General features: G+C 38.4%; 1 protein-coding gene across 4 annotated transcripts in view; it reads right to left on the bottom strand.

Annotated features, from left to right (window-relative positions):
• UNC13C (unc-13 homolog C) overlaps positions 1–13,696 on the bottom strand; it is a 795,839-nt gene that overhangs the window by 730,854 nt on the left and 51,289 nt on the right. The window lies entirely within an intron of this gene.

Genomic DNA, 13,696 nt, shown 5'->3' with positions numbered 1-13,696 from the left:
GACTTGCTAGTCTCAATATTTTATAGTTCCCATCCGTCATTACAGGTGTTTTCTTCTCTCCCTAATTACTCCTTCTACTACCATGTTTGTTTTCTGCTGCTTTAAACTATTTATGTTAAGTCCTTATGTTCTGCAATCACTAACTGATAGGTTATTCCTTTTTTCAGTACACTTACTGACCATATCAGTCTTCTTTCTCTTCCACTACTGCCAGATCTTGGCCTCAACTGCCAGCTCTGTTGAGGCAGAAATTTGGCTGCAACCTCCTTCAATCTGTCTGTCTCCTGTATCTAGGAAGGTATACCTAGGTGGGATTAGGGTTAGGGAGTATTAAAGGATCATAGAGGACAAGGAGAATGGTTCCTAAAAAGAGCCCATTTGGACTAGAAGGGAAAACTAGGATGAGGAAAGGATTTTTCATGAAACAAATTTAAGTATTATTATACGCTATGAGGAAAGAACCAAAAGAGTAGGATATATTGAAAATATTGAAGAAAAAAAGTATGCCTGAGAGAACATGATCTTAAAGGATATATGGAGAGGTGAAAACTAATGCACATGTGGTGGTATTAGTCTTAGGATAAAGGTCATTTCTTCCATTGAGGAAAATGGAAATGGGTAATAACTTAATTTTGTAGATAGAGGGATAGGAATCCTCAATTTTCACCATAAATAAAAAAAGTGGTCTGCTGAGATAAGTCAGAGATAAGAGAGACTTGAAGAGAGGAGTGAAAACATGAAATAATCAATTACCTTTAAACTTTCATTCATGAGAATATCCAAATGTCTTGGGTGCAGTAAACATACACTCTCAAATTTCTGATGGCATTATAAATTGGCAAAATGTTTTTGGAAATCAATTTGGCCTCAAAAATATTCATATGTTTGACTCCATTGACTATTTCTCATAAAACAATTTACAATAAAGACAGAGTTTATATACAAAAATGTTAATTTCAACATTATTCATTATAAGGAAAAATCCTGGAAGCAACCTAATTGTCTATAGATAGAGGAGGGACTAAATAAATTATGGCACATCCAAGTAATAGAGATCTATCAGCTGGTCATGGTGGCTCACGCCTGTAATCCCAGCACTTTGGGAGGCCGAGGCAGGCAGATCACCTGAGGTCGGGAGATCGAGACCATCCTGGCTAACACAGTGAAACCCCATCTCTACAAAAAAAAAATACAAAAAAAATAGCTAGGCATGGTGTCAGGCACCTGTAGTCCCAGCTACTTGGGAGGCTGAAGCAGGAGAATGGCATGAACCCGGGAGGTGGAGCTTGTAGTGAGCTGAGATCGTGCCACTGCACTCCAGCCTGGATGACAGAGTGAGACTGCATCTCAAAAAAAAAAAAAAAAAAAGAAATCTATGAAGACATTAAAATGATGCTTACTAAGAATCTTTAATTTAATGGAGAAATTCTTTTTATAAAAAATAAACCCATGACTATTATGTTAATCGAATATAATAAATTAAATATAGAAGAAAATGAATAAAAATCATGTGTATAGAATAATTATTATTATACTTTATATGTGTTTTTGAGTATTTTCCACATTTTTAGAGATGTATGTTACTTTTGTTATGAGAAAATACATACCAAACTTTTAAATTCATCTTTTGGTAATTTATCAAGACTAATGTTGAAAAGGAGGGAAAAAAAATGAATGTACGTTAAACCCTTATGGAAAAAGAAGATAAAACAGGGAGCATGAAGTGCCTATTCCTGTAGCTCAATTGATTAACAACATAGTACATTTTATGAGTCAGTATTGCAAATGTACACAATCAAGATTGCAGATTTGGGACCCAGATCTGTTGAACTCTCTGAGATGGGACATTGATCTGAGTCTTTAAAAGTTGGATGATTTAAAGTGGAAGATAATGCATTTTTGGCCCACAGTGAAAAAAAAATAGAAGTTTGATGAACACTGGGCCTCTATTTTTATACTGCAATATCCCCTGAACATCCTACTGTTGCCCTCCTTGGAGGAATTGTGTAGCTACAGTGATTCATAATCCCCACCATATCTCACTGGTTTCCTAACAATGAGTCCAAACAGCAGTCGCTATTTGTCATTACTCTTGCTTTTACTATTGTTTACAGTAAATAAACATTTCTCTGTCACCATGGCTAGTAAAGCTAAAAGAAAAGATAATCTGAAAAGCCCATATGTTTCAAGAAAAATAAAGAACATGTTTAATTCTTTAAGTACAGAATATTCCTCTGTGTCTGATATTCATACATCAGGCCCTCTTCTCCAATTTTTATAACTCGTATGGCCATCCTAAACACTTATGTCTGCAATCCTGGAATAAGTCTGGGGACACATTATTGTTAATAACATAAACTGCTTACTATATTTTAATACTAAAAAATTATAATTCCTTATTAAATCCATAGGGTATCATTCTAGTCCCTCATTAATTTTGAATTAAATAGATGTACTATTTGCGGAATAATATGATTGAAGATCGAGGGGGTATTTTAATAGTAGGATTCAGGCTTGACTTTCTGGAGATTTTCTACACAAAGATGAAATAGGATATATGTTATACTAATCTGATGACAATATAAAATAAAATATACATATGGCAGAAAACGAAGAGCTTTCTCTAGGGTGGGGTAGTTATCTGTTGGGGAGATGGGACTTGAACCATGCAGAACTGGGTGAGACTTTCTCATGGGAAGGACAATAGCCAAGATAAGAAACTAAAAAGGAACCATCTCAGAAGCAGAGAGACTGCCAGCACTTTGGGAAGCCGAGGCAGGCAGATCACCTGAGGTCGGGAGTTTGAGACCAGCTTGACCAACATGGAGCAACCACTCTCTACTAAAAATACAAAAATAGCCAGGCATGGTGGCGCATGCCTGTAATAGCAGCCACTCGGGAGGCTGAGGCAGGAGAATCGCTTGAACCCGGGAGGTGGATGTTGCGGTGAGCCGAGATCCTGGGCAACAAGAGTGAAACTCCGTCTAAAAAAAAAGTAGAGAGACTGGTTTTTCAGCTAAGCGCTCATTTTGGTGAACAGTGACTAAAAAGTTTGCATAAGAAGAGTGAGTTAAGAAAATTGGTCTCTTGAAATTCAGGAAGAGAAGTTTGGAATGTAATTCTTTTAGAAAGCAAAGCTACTGCATGCTTTTGAACACAAGAAGTTGATTTTCAAGAAGTTTAATTTGCAAGGAAAGTGGTTTGAAGGAAGCGATTTGAGACAAAGAGGAAAATGATGTGTTTATAACAATTTAGATTTATTCAGAGAGTCAACAGATTCTTGCAATTCTTGCAGAGCACTTGTTATGAGATGCTGTCTATTAGGCATTAAGGATACACAATAATCAAATTCTTTGACCTCAAAGAGCTTATATTCCAGTGGACATAGGCAGATAATAAACATATACATAAATAAGTGCAATAGTGTAACAGGATATAGTGCACAGAATACTGATGGTGTTAAAATAATCAGAGAATGCTTCTCTGAGATGTGACATTAATCTGAGTCTTTAAGGATGAAAATGAGGTTACTATATGGAAACACATTGGAAGAACGTCCAGCCAGTAGAGATAAGCACAAAACCCTCAAGAGGAAGTGAGCATGGTGTGGGGGACAGTTGGGGATGGGGTGGGGGGCAGTGTATGGAGAAGTGTTGGTCAAAGTGGACAGACTTTCAGTTGCAAGATGAATGAGTTCTGGGACTCTAATGTACAGCATAGCGAATATAGTCATAGTTATTACCAATAATACTGTATTGTATACTTGAAATTTGTTATGGAAGTAGATACTCAGTATTCTTATATTTTTTTAAAATTGGAATATTAGGTGATAGATGTGTTAAGTAGCTTAATTATAGAATCATTTCACAATGTATACATATCAAATTATCATATTGTACACCTTAAATACATACACATTTTGTCAATTATACCTCAATAAAGCCAGAATAAAAACCTAACTTTAAAATGGCCCAGTCAATAGTCAGCTCCCTGCTCCCTTGGGGAGCCAATACCTTTTGATTCTTTTCTCATTTACTAGGGAATCAGAAGAGATCAGGGTAACCTCCCTCTTTAGGCTACTGTTTGGGGAAATGTTTGATTTTTTTGAAGAATATAGCTATTAGGAGAAAAAAAAGTGTGTTAGTGTGTATGCGTTTGTGTGTGTGTGTGTGTGTATGTGTCTGGAAAAGAATTTCAATAGACTTTTAGAATCAGTTAGGTCAAGAAAAGCTGCACTCAATAACCTTACCATCTTACCCTGATCATTTCAAATAGTTTCACTAGCACCATATTTAAAAGATAAGCATGACTGGTTTAAAAATAATTGAATAGTCCCAACTTTAACAGTAGAAGATGATGATGATGATGATGATGATGATGGTGGTGGTGGTTGTGGTGGTCATTATCTCTGTATAAAAGGAGAAAGTCTGCATTTTTAGGACTATGTGCACCAGCAGGAGGAAGTAATGTAGAAGATCTTATATTGAACTATCAGCATGGGTCTCACAGCTGGAAGAGTTAGCCCAATAAGAGAACATTTGTATAGAGCAGCATTTTTATCACAAGATGCCAGTGCTCAGCAAGGTTTTTATTATACAAAATCAAAGGACTTAAAATACTCAACTAGAACTACAGTTATCAAGACCAAGAGTTTTTCAAAGTACAACATTAATCCCCCAGGATTTTTAGTAGGGGTTAGACAGAAAATGAAGGCGGTCGGGGCATTCTCAGAGAAAATAAATCTGGAAAGTGTCAAGGTAAAGTTAAATGGATTTTTTAAATTACAGCACATAGAAGAACTTTTAATATGCTAATACACTTTCTGATTTTCCAAGAAAGGGGTCTACGTAGAGTGTCATTTAAGGGATAGCTTCTCATCAAGGAAATTCAGGAAAAGTGGCCAAAATGGCATTGGGTAAGGCCTGAATAGATGATGCTATAACAGTGTGATGACCTTGTGGATCAATTCAGTTGAGTTGTAATGTATTGCCATTTAAATGTATGTATAGCCAGGTTCCATGGCACACGCCTATAATACTGGCTATTTGGGAGGCTGAGATGGGAAGATCACTTGAGGCCAGGAGTTCAAGACTAGCCTAGACAACATAGTGAGACCCTCATCCCTACAAAAACAAGGAAACAATAAAATAAATGTATGTATAAAATTATTGTTGCTATCCATGTACTCGAAAAAGTTCCCAAAGCATCAAGTAGTATAATGAGAGATGACTGAGCTGGTAATCAGGAGGTTGGATCTTAATCTCTATTTTTACCATTTTCCGGATCCAGTCCATTGGACCCCATTGAGGACTCACTGATTCTTTCATTTATTCAATGAGCTTGATTGTCTCCTCTGTGTGAGACAAGACTTCTAGGTGCTAGGGATATAGCAATAGATAAGAAAGACCAAGTCCTTGACCTCATAGAACTTACATTCTAGTGAAGAAGACAAATAGTAAATAAACATATAGTTTCACTGTTGGATAAGGTATTATGAAGTGAGGGAGGAAAGCAGGGTTCAGTTACTTTCTCTACAAAATGAGGAGGCTGGACTCTGTCAGTGATTTCCACAGTCTTAAAGTAATTACATGTAACAGAAAACCTCAGTAACCTAACTATGTTGGCTTCCCAAATAGAAGTTTATTTTTCTCATTAGAGAAAAAGTTAGGAGGTAGGTCATCCAGGACAGGTGGAGTAGTTTCATGAGGTCATCAGTGTCCCGGGTGTCTCTGATGTTTCTATTCACCTTAGGGTGTGGTTTTTAATGCTAATGGAAGATGATGCCAGACATAATAAAAAAGGAATTGCTAAAGAATATGGGATAGTCCCCACATTTAGAAAGCCAGAATTTTCTAAAAATCCACAGCAGGCACTCCTTACATCTTTAGGGAGGCTGAGAAACATGAATACTTTTCAGCTGAGCAACTAGTTGCCCTGAACATGACCTGGTTCCCTTTAAGGAAGAGGGATGGAGTGGAAATTAAGTAAGTATCTAGTCTGCCATAAGGCTTAGGGGTGAAAAACATATATCCACTTCACCATCCCATGTATTATTATGATAATAACATTGAATATTGTAATAATACTCATACTAATATCCAACATTAAGAAGAAAATACTGATTCACAAAGAAGTATTTACAAATGACACCTTTGCTAAACAAATACACAAGCTCAGAAAAATTGACTAAATTGAACCAGAAGAGCACAGCAGCACTCAACTTAGAGGAAGTGCTAACACTACAATGAAAGACTGTGGCACAATTCATTATTAGATCTTGCCTTACTGTCACTTAATTGTATTTGGTACATATATGCTCTAGGAGTATTTTTTTTACATTTCTTACAAGTAAGGTGAAAATCAAACACCAAATGAAACAGTGATAGTTACACACTTTTCAACGAAAAATGTGTTTATATGATATTCAAATGTATTCATGAAGATGACTAGAGAAGTGTTCTCCTAAGGAACTCTACATTGGCAATTAAAGTTGACTTGATGATGGTCACTAATGGACATTAGCATATTTAAATTCATGTGTTGTTTTTATTATCATTTTGTTTGAGATGCATTTTAAAGTAAAAATCAAATAAAATGTTGGCAGAGCTCTGAAGAAAGAGAATGCTAAAGTTAAAATATACTGGACTAAGTGGCCTCAATCTTACCTACAGACTCAGACTTAATTTTTTTACATTTTACAAGAGACCGATCTTTGTTAAAGACATTAAGATTGAACAATGGATTAATGTTAGTCTTAGTTCATATTTTCAATGCTCAAAGAACAGCAATTTCACAAACCTTTGAATAATTTGGAATTGACATTATAAAACTGGAGGAAATAGTAATGATATAATGAATTCAAAGTCGAGTAAATCCTTCTCGTCTGTAATGCCTAAGAAACACAAAAAGCACTATTCATTCTTCAGCTATCTGCACACATTCTAATCTCACAGACAGCTGGAGAATAGAAAACTTGTCTACAAGGGATTTGTATGTATTACTAATTAGATATACAGCTTACTTCAGCTGGGATATCTTTTAATTATGTTTATTAAAACAGTCTGAAATATATTTATAAAATATATGTTTTTATTTTATCAATTTATGAACATTCAATGATCTCTTCTAAGATTTACGCAGTAGTAGACCATGCCTAAATTACTTACAACCTGTTTTCCAAAAGACAAAGACCATTACATGACACAAAATTTCTTTCTTTTTTTTTTTTTTTTTTTTTTTTTGAGATGAAATCTCACTCTGTCACCCAGGCTGGAGTGCAGTGGCAACCTCCGACTCCTGGGTTCAAGCTATTCTCCTTCCTCAGCATCTAGAGTAACTGGGATTACAGACGCCTGCGACCACACCCAGCTAATTTTTATATTTTTAGTAGAGACGAGGTTTCACCATGTTGGCCAGGCTGGTCTCAAACTCCTGACCTCAAGTGATCTGCCCACCTTGGTCTCCCAAAGTGTTGGGATTACAGGCATGAGCCACCACGCCCAGCCTCGACAAAAAATTTCTAAGGAATGATCCTAATAACAGTAAAAGCTTTATTCATGGAAACTGATCACTAGATAATTACATATTTATCTAGTGATATCTAATGTAATATTGATAAACATAATTATCAATATAATACTATGTGGAACAAATTGTGATCAAGGAATATTTAAATGAAATAATATAGTCCATGAGTTGATTATTATTGAACATGGTGAAGGGTTAATGGGGCAATAATTTACACTAATCTCTTGACTTTTGTAAATATCAAAAGTTTGCTATAATAAAAGTTTTACAAAATTATAAAAAACTCATTTACAGTCAAATAAATGAATAAATAAATATTTCAGAAAGAAATGTTTCTACTGATAATTAAAACAAAACCCAACCAAAGTGACATAAATAAATGGGGGTCTATTTCCATAATAGCAAGAAGTCTCAAGATACTCAGGTCTCTCAACAATTGTCTTCCTTATTTTCTCAGACAGCAGCTACAACTTCAACCATCATGCCTCCATTCAAGGCGTAAGAGGGGAAAGTGACTGTGCCAGCAGACTTTCGCCCATAACTCCAGGCCAGTCAGATGACCACTTCTTGCTATAAGGAAAGCTGGAAAATTGATACTTGATTTTCACTTTCTCTATAGTAATCAGGAAAGGGATAAAGGGGTTGGGTTTGTTGAGCCAACCTACGGTGTCTGCCAAAGCAACTATAAGAATATTTAGGTAAACAGTTGTACATTCATTCAACTGACTATTATTAAGCCATTAAGAAATAAATACCAATATTAGCAAAGATGGCCAAATAGGAACAGCTCCAGTCTGCAGCTCCCAGCGCGATTGACACAGAAGGTGGGTGATTTCTGCATTTCCAACTGAGGTATCCAGTTCATCTCACTGGGACTGATTGGACAGTGGGTGCAACCCACAGAGGGCGAGCCAAAGCAGGGTGGGGTGTCGCCTCACCTGGGAAGCACAGGTGTCGGGGAATTTTCTCCCCTATCCAAGGGAAGTCGTGGGGGAAGGAGCCTGAGGAACTGTGTGCTCCAGCCCAGATACTGCACTTTTCCCATGGTCTTCACAACCCACAGACCAGCAGATTCCCTCCAGTGCCTGCCCCACCAGGGCCCTGAGTTTCAAGCACAAAACTGGGCAGACACCAAACTAGCTGCAGAAGTTTTTTTTCCAAACCCCAGTGGTACCTCGAATGTCAGCGAGACGGAACCGTTCACTCCCCTTGAAAGGGGTGCTGAAGCCAGGGACCCAAGTGGTCTGGCTCTGTGGGCCCCATGCCATGGAGCCCAGCAAACTAAGATCCACTGGCTTGAAATTCTTGCTGCCAGCACAGCAGCAGTCTGAGATGGACCTGGGATGCTTGAGCTTGGTGGGGGGAGGGACATCCACTATTGCTGAGGCTTGTGTAGGCAGTTTTACCCTCAGAGTGTAAACAAAGCTGCCAGGAAGTTCAAACTGGGCGGAGCCCACTGCAGCTCAGCAAGGCTGCTGTGGCCAGACTGCCACATTTCTGCTCTCTGGGCAGGGCATCTCTGAAAAAAAGGCAGCAGCCCCAGTCAGGGACTTATAGATAAAACCCCCATCTCCCTGGAACAGAGCACCTGGGGGAAGGGGTGGCTATGGGTGCAGCTTCAGCAGATTTAAACATTCCTGCCTCACAGCTCTGAAGAGAGCAGCAAACCTCCCAGCACAGCATTCAAGCTCTGTTAAGGGTCAGAATGCCTCCTCAAGTGGGTCCCTGACCCCCGTGTATCCTGACTGGGAGATAACTCCCAGTAGGGGCTGACAGACACCTCATACAGGAGAGCTCTGGCAGGCATCTAGCAGGTGCCCCTCTGGGACAAAGCTTCCAGAGAAAAGAACAGGCAGTAATCTTTGCTGTTCTGCAGACTTCGCTGGTGATATCCAGGCAAACAGGGTCTGGAGTGGACCTCAGAAAACTCCAGCAGATCTTCAGCAGAGGAGCCTGACTGTTAGAAGGAAAACTAACAAACAGAAATGAATAGCAAGTCTACTCAAAGACCCCATCTGAAGGTCACCAACATCAAAGACCAAAGGTAGATAAATCCACAAAGATGGGGGGAAACAGCTCAAAAAGGCGGAAAACTCCAAAAACCAGAACACCACTTCTCCTCCAAAGGATCACAAATCCTCACCAGCAAGGGGACAAAACTTGATGGAGAATGAGTTTGATGAATTGACAAAAGTAAGCTTCAAAAGGTGGGTAATAACAAACTCCTCTGAGCTAAAGGAGTATGTTCTAATCCAATGCCAGGAAGCTAAGAACTTTGAAAAAAGGTTAGATGAATTTCTAACTAGAATAACCAGTTTAGAGAACATAAATGACCTGATGGAGCTGAAAAACACAGCACGAGAACTTCATGAAGCATACAGAAGTATCTATAGCTGAATCAATCAAGCGGAAGAAAGGATATCAGAGACTGAAGATCAACTTAATGAAATAAAGTGAGAAGACAAGATTAGAGAAAAAATAAAAAGGAATAAATAAAGCCTCCAAGAAACATGGGACTATGTGAAAAGACTAAATGTACATTTGATTGGTGTACCTGAAAGTGACAGGGAAAATGGAACCAAGCTGGAAAACACTCTTCAGGATATTATCCAGGAGAACTTCCCCAACCTAGCAAGACAGGCCAACATTCAAATTCAGGAAATACAGAGAACACCACAAAGATACTCCTCGAGAAGAGCAACCTCAAGACACACAATCATCAGATTCACCAAGGTTGAAATGAAGAAAAAAATGTTCAGGGCAGCAGAGAAAAAGGTTGGGTTACCCACAAAGGGAAGCCCATTAGACTAACAGCAGATCTCTCTGCAGAAACCCTACAAGCCAGAGGAGAGCGGGGGCCAATACTCAACATTCTTTAAGAAAAGAATTTTCAACCCAGAATTTCATATCCAGCCAAACTAAGCTTTATAAGTGAAGGAGAAATAAAATCCTTTACAGACAAGCAAATGCTGAGAGATTTTGTCACCACCTGGTGGTGGTGTAAGGCTCTTGCCTTACAAGAGCTCCTGAAGGAAACACTAAACTTGGAAAGGAACAACCGGTACCAGCCACTGCAAAAACATACCAAATTGTAAAGAACATCAACACTACGAAGAAACTGCATCAACTAATGGACAAAATAACCAGCCAGCATCATAATGACAGGATCAAATTCACATATAACAATATTAACTTTAAATGTTAATGGGCTAAATGCCCCAATTAAAAGACACAGACTGGCAAATTGGATAAACAGTCAAGACCCATCGGTGTGCTGTATTCAGGAGACCCATCTCACATGCATTGACACACATAGGCTCAAAATAAAGGGACAGAGGAATATTCAGCAAGCAAATGGAAAGCAAAAAAGAGCAGGAGTTGCAATCCTAATCTCAGATAAAAACAGACTTTAAAGCAACAAAGATCAAAAGAGACAAAAAAGGACATTATATAATGGTAAAGGGATCAATTCAAAAAGAAGAGCTAACTATCTTAAATATATATGTACCCAATACAGGAGCACCCACATTCATAAAGCAAGTTCTTAGAGACCTACAGACTTAGACTCCCACACAATGATAGTGGGAGACTTTAACATCCCACTGTCAATATTAGACAAATCAACGAGACAGAAAATTAACAAGGATATCCAGGACCTGAACTCAGCTCGGGAACAAGTGGACCTAATAGATATGCACAGAACTCTCCACCCCAAATCAACAGAATAGACATTCTTCTCAGCACCTCATCGCACTTGTTCTAAAATTGACCACATAATGGGAAGTAAAACACTTCTCAGCAAATGCAAAACAATGGAAATCATAACAAACAGTCTCTCAGAACACAGTGCAATCAAATTAGAACCCAGGATTAAGAAACTCACTCAAAACCACACAACTACATGGAAATTGAACAACCCGCTCCTAAATGACTACTGGTAAATAACAAAATGAAGGCAGAAATAAAGATGTTCCTTGAAACCAATGGGAACAAAGACACAACATACCAGAATCTCCGGGACACATTTAAAACAATGTGTAGAGGGAAATTTGTAGCACTAAATGCCCACAAGAGAAAGCAGGAAAGATCTAAAATTGACACCCTAAAATCAAAATTAAAAGAACTAGGAAAGCAACAGCAGATAAATTCAAAAACTAGCAGAAGACAAGACATAACTAAGATCAGAGCAGAACTGAAGGAGATAAAGACACAAAAAACCCATCAAAAAATCAATGAATCCAGGAGCTGGTTTTTTTAAAAGGTCAAAAAATAGATAGGCCACTAGCCAGACTAACAAAGAAGAAAAGAGAGAAGAATCAAACAGACACAATAAAAAATGATAAAAGGGATATCACCACTGATCCCACAGAAATACAAACTACCATCAGAGAATACTATAAACACCTCTACGCAAATAAACTAGAAAATCTAGAAGAAATGGATAAATTCCTGGACACATACACTCTCCCAAGTCTAAACCAGGAAGAAGTCAAATCCCTGAATAGACCAATAACAAGTTCTGAAATCGAGGCAGTAATTAGTAGTCTACCAACCCAAAAAAGTCCAGGACCAGATGGATTCACAGCCAAATTCTACCAGAGGTACAAAGAGGAACTGGTAGCTGGGCGCAGTGGCTCATGCCTGTAATCCCAGCACTTTGGGAGGCCATGGCGGGTGGATCACGAGGTCAGGAGATTGAGACCATCCTGGCTAACACAGTGAAATCCCACCTCTACTAAAAATACAAAAAATTAGCTGGGCGTGATGGCAGGTGCATGTAGTCCCAGCTACTCAGGAGGCTGAGGCAGGAGAATGGTGTGAACCCAGAAGGCGGAGCTTGCAGTGAGCCAAGATCATACCACTGCACTCAAGCCTGGGTGACGCAGTGAGAATCCGTCTCAAAAAGAAAAAAAAAAAAAGAGGCGCTGGTACCATTCCTTCTGAAACTATTCCAAACACTAGAAAAAGAGAGAATCCTCCCTAACTCATTTTATGAAGTCAGCATCATCCTGATACCAAAACCTGGCAGAGACACAACAAAAAAAGAAAATTTCAGATCAATATCCCTGATGAACATCGATGTAAAAATCCTCAATAAAATACTGGCAAATCGAATCTATCAGCACATTAAAAAGCTTATCCACCACGATCAAGTTGGCTTCATCCCTGGGACACAAGGCTGGTTCAACATATGCAAATCAATAAACATACACCATCATATAAACAGAACCAATGACAAAAACCACGTGATTATCTCAATAGATGCAGAAAAGGCCTTTGACAAAATTCAACACCCTTCATGCTAAAAACTCTCAATAAACTAGGTATTGATGGAATGTATCACAAAATAATAAGAGTTATTTATGACAAACCTCACAGCCGTTATCATACTGAATGGGCAAAAATTGGAAGCATTCCCTTTGAAAACCAGCACAAGACAAGGATGCCCTCTCTCACCACTCCTATTCAATATAGTATTGGAAGTTCTGGCCAGGGCAATCAGGCAAGAGAAAGAAATAAATGGTATTCAAATAGGAAGAAAGGAAGTCAAATTGTCTCTGTTTGCAGATGACATGATTGTATATTTAGAAAACCCCATTGTCTCAGCTCAAAATCTCCTTAAACTCATAAGCAACTTCAGCCAAGTCTCAGGATACAAAATCAATGTGCAAAAATCACAAGCATTCCTATACACCAATAACAGTCAAACAGAGAGCCAAATCATGAGTGAACTCCCATTGACAACTGCTACTAAGAGAATTAAAATACCTAGGAATACAGCTTACAAGGGATGCAAAGGACCTCTTCAAGGAGAACCACAAACTACTGCTCAAGGAAATAAGAGAGGACACAAACAAATGGAAAAACATTCCATGCTCATAGATAGGGAGAATCAATATCGTGAAAGTGGCCAAACTGCCCAAAGAAATTTATAGATTCAATGCTATCCCCATCAAGCTACCATTGACTTTGTTTACAGAATTGGGAAAAAACTACTTTAAACTTCATATGGAACCAAAAAAGAGCCCGCAGAGCCAAGACAGTCCTAAGCAAAAAGAACAAAGCTGGAGGGATCATGCTACCTGACTTCAAACAATACTACGAGGCTACAGAAACCAAAACGGCATGGTACTGGTACCAAAACAGATATTTAGACCAATGGAACAGA

This window comes from Homo sapiens, chromosome 15 (genome assembly GCF_000001405.40).
Source record: "Homo sapiens chromosome 15, GRCh38.p14 Primary Assembly".
NCBI classification, from domain to species: domain Eukaryota; kingdom Metazoa; phylum Chordata; class Mammalia; order Primates; family Hominidae; genus Homo; species Homo sapiens.
This window is presented reverse-complemented; position numbering and strand designations above follow the sequence as displayed.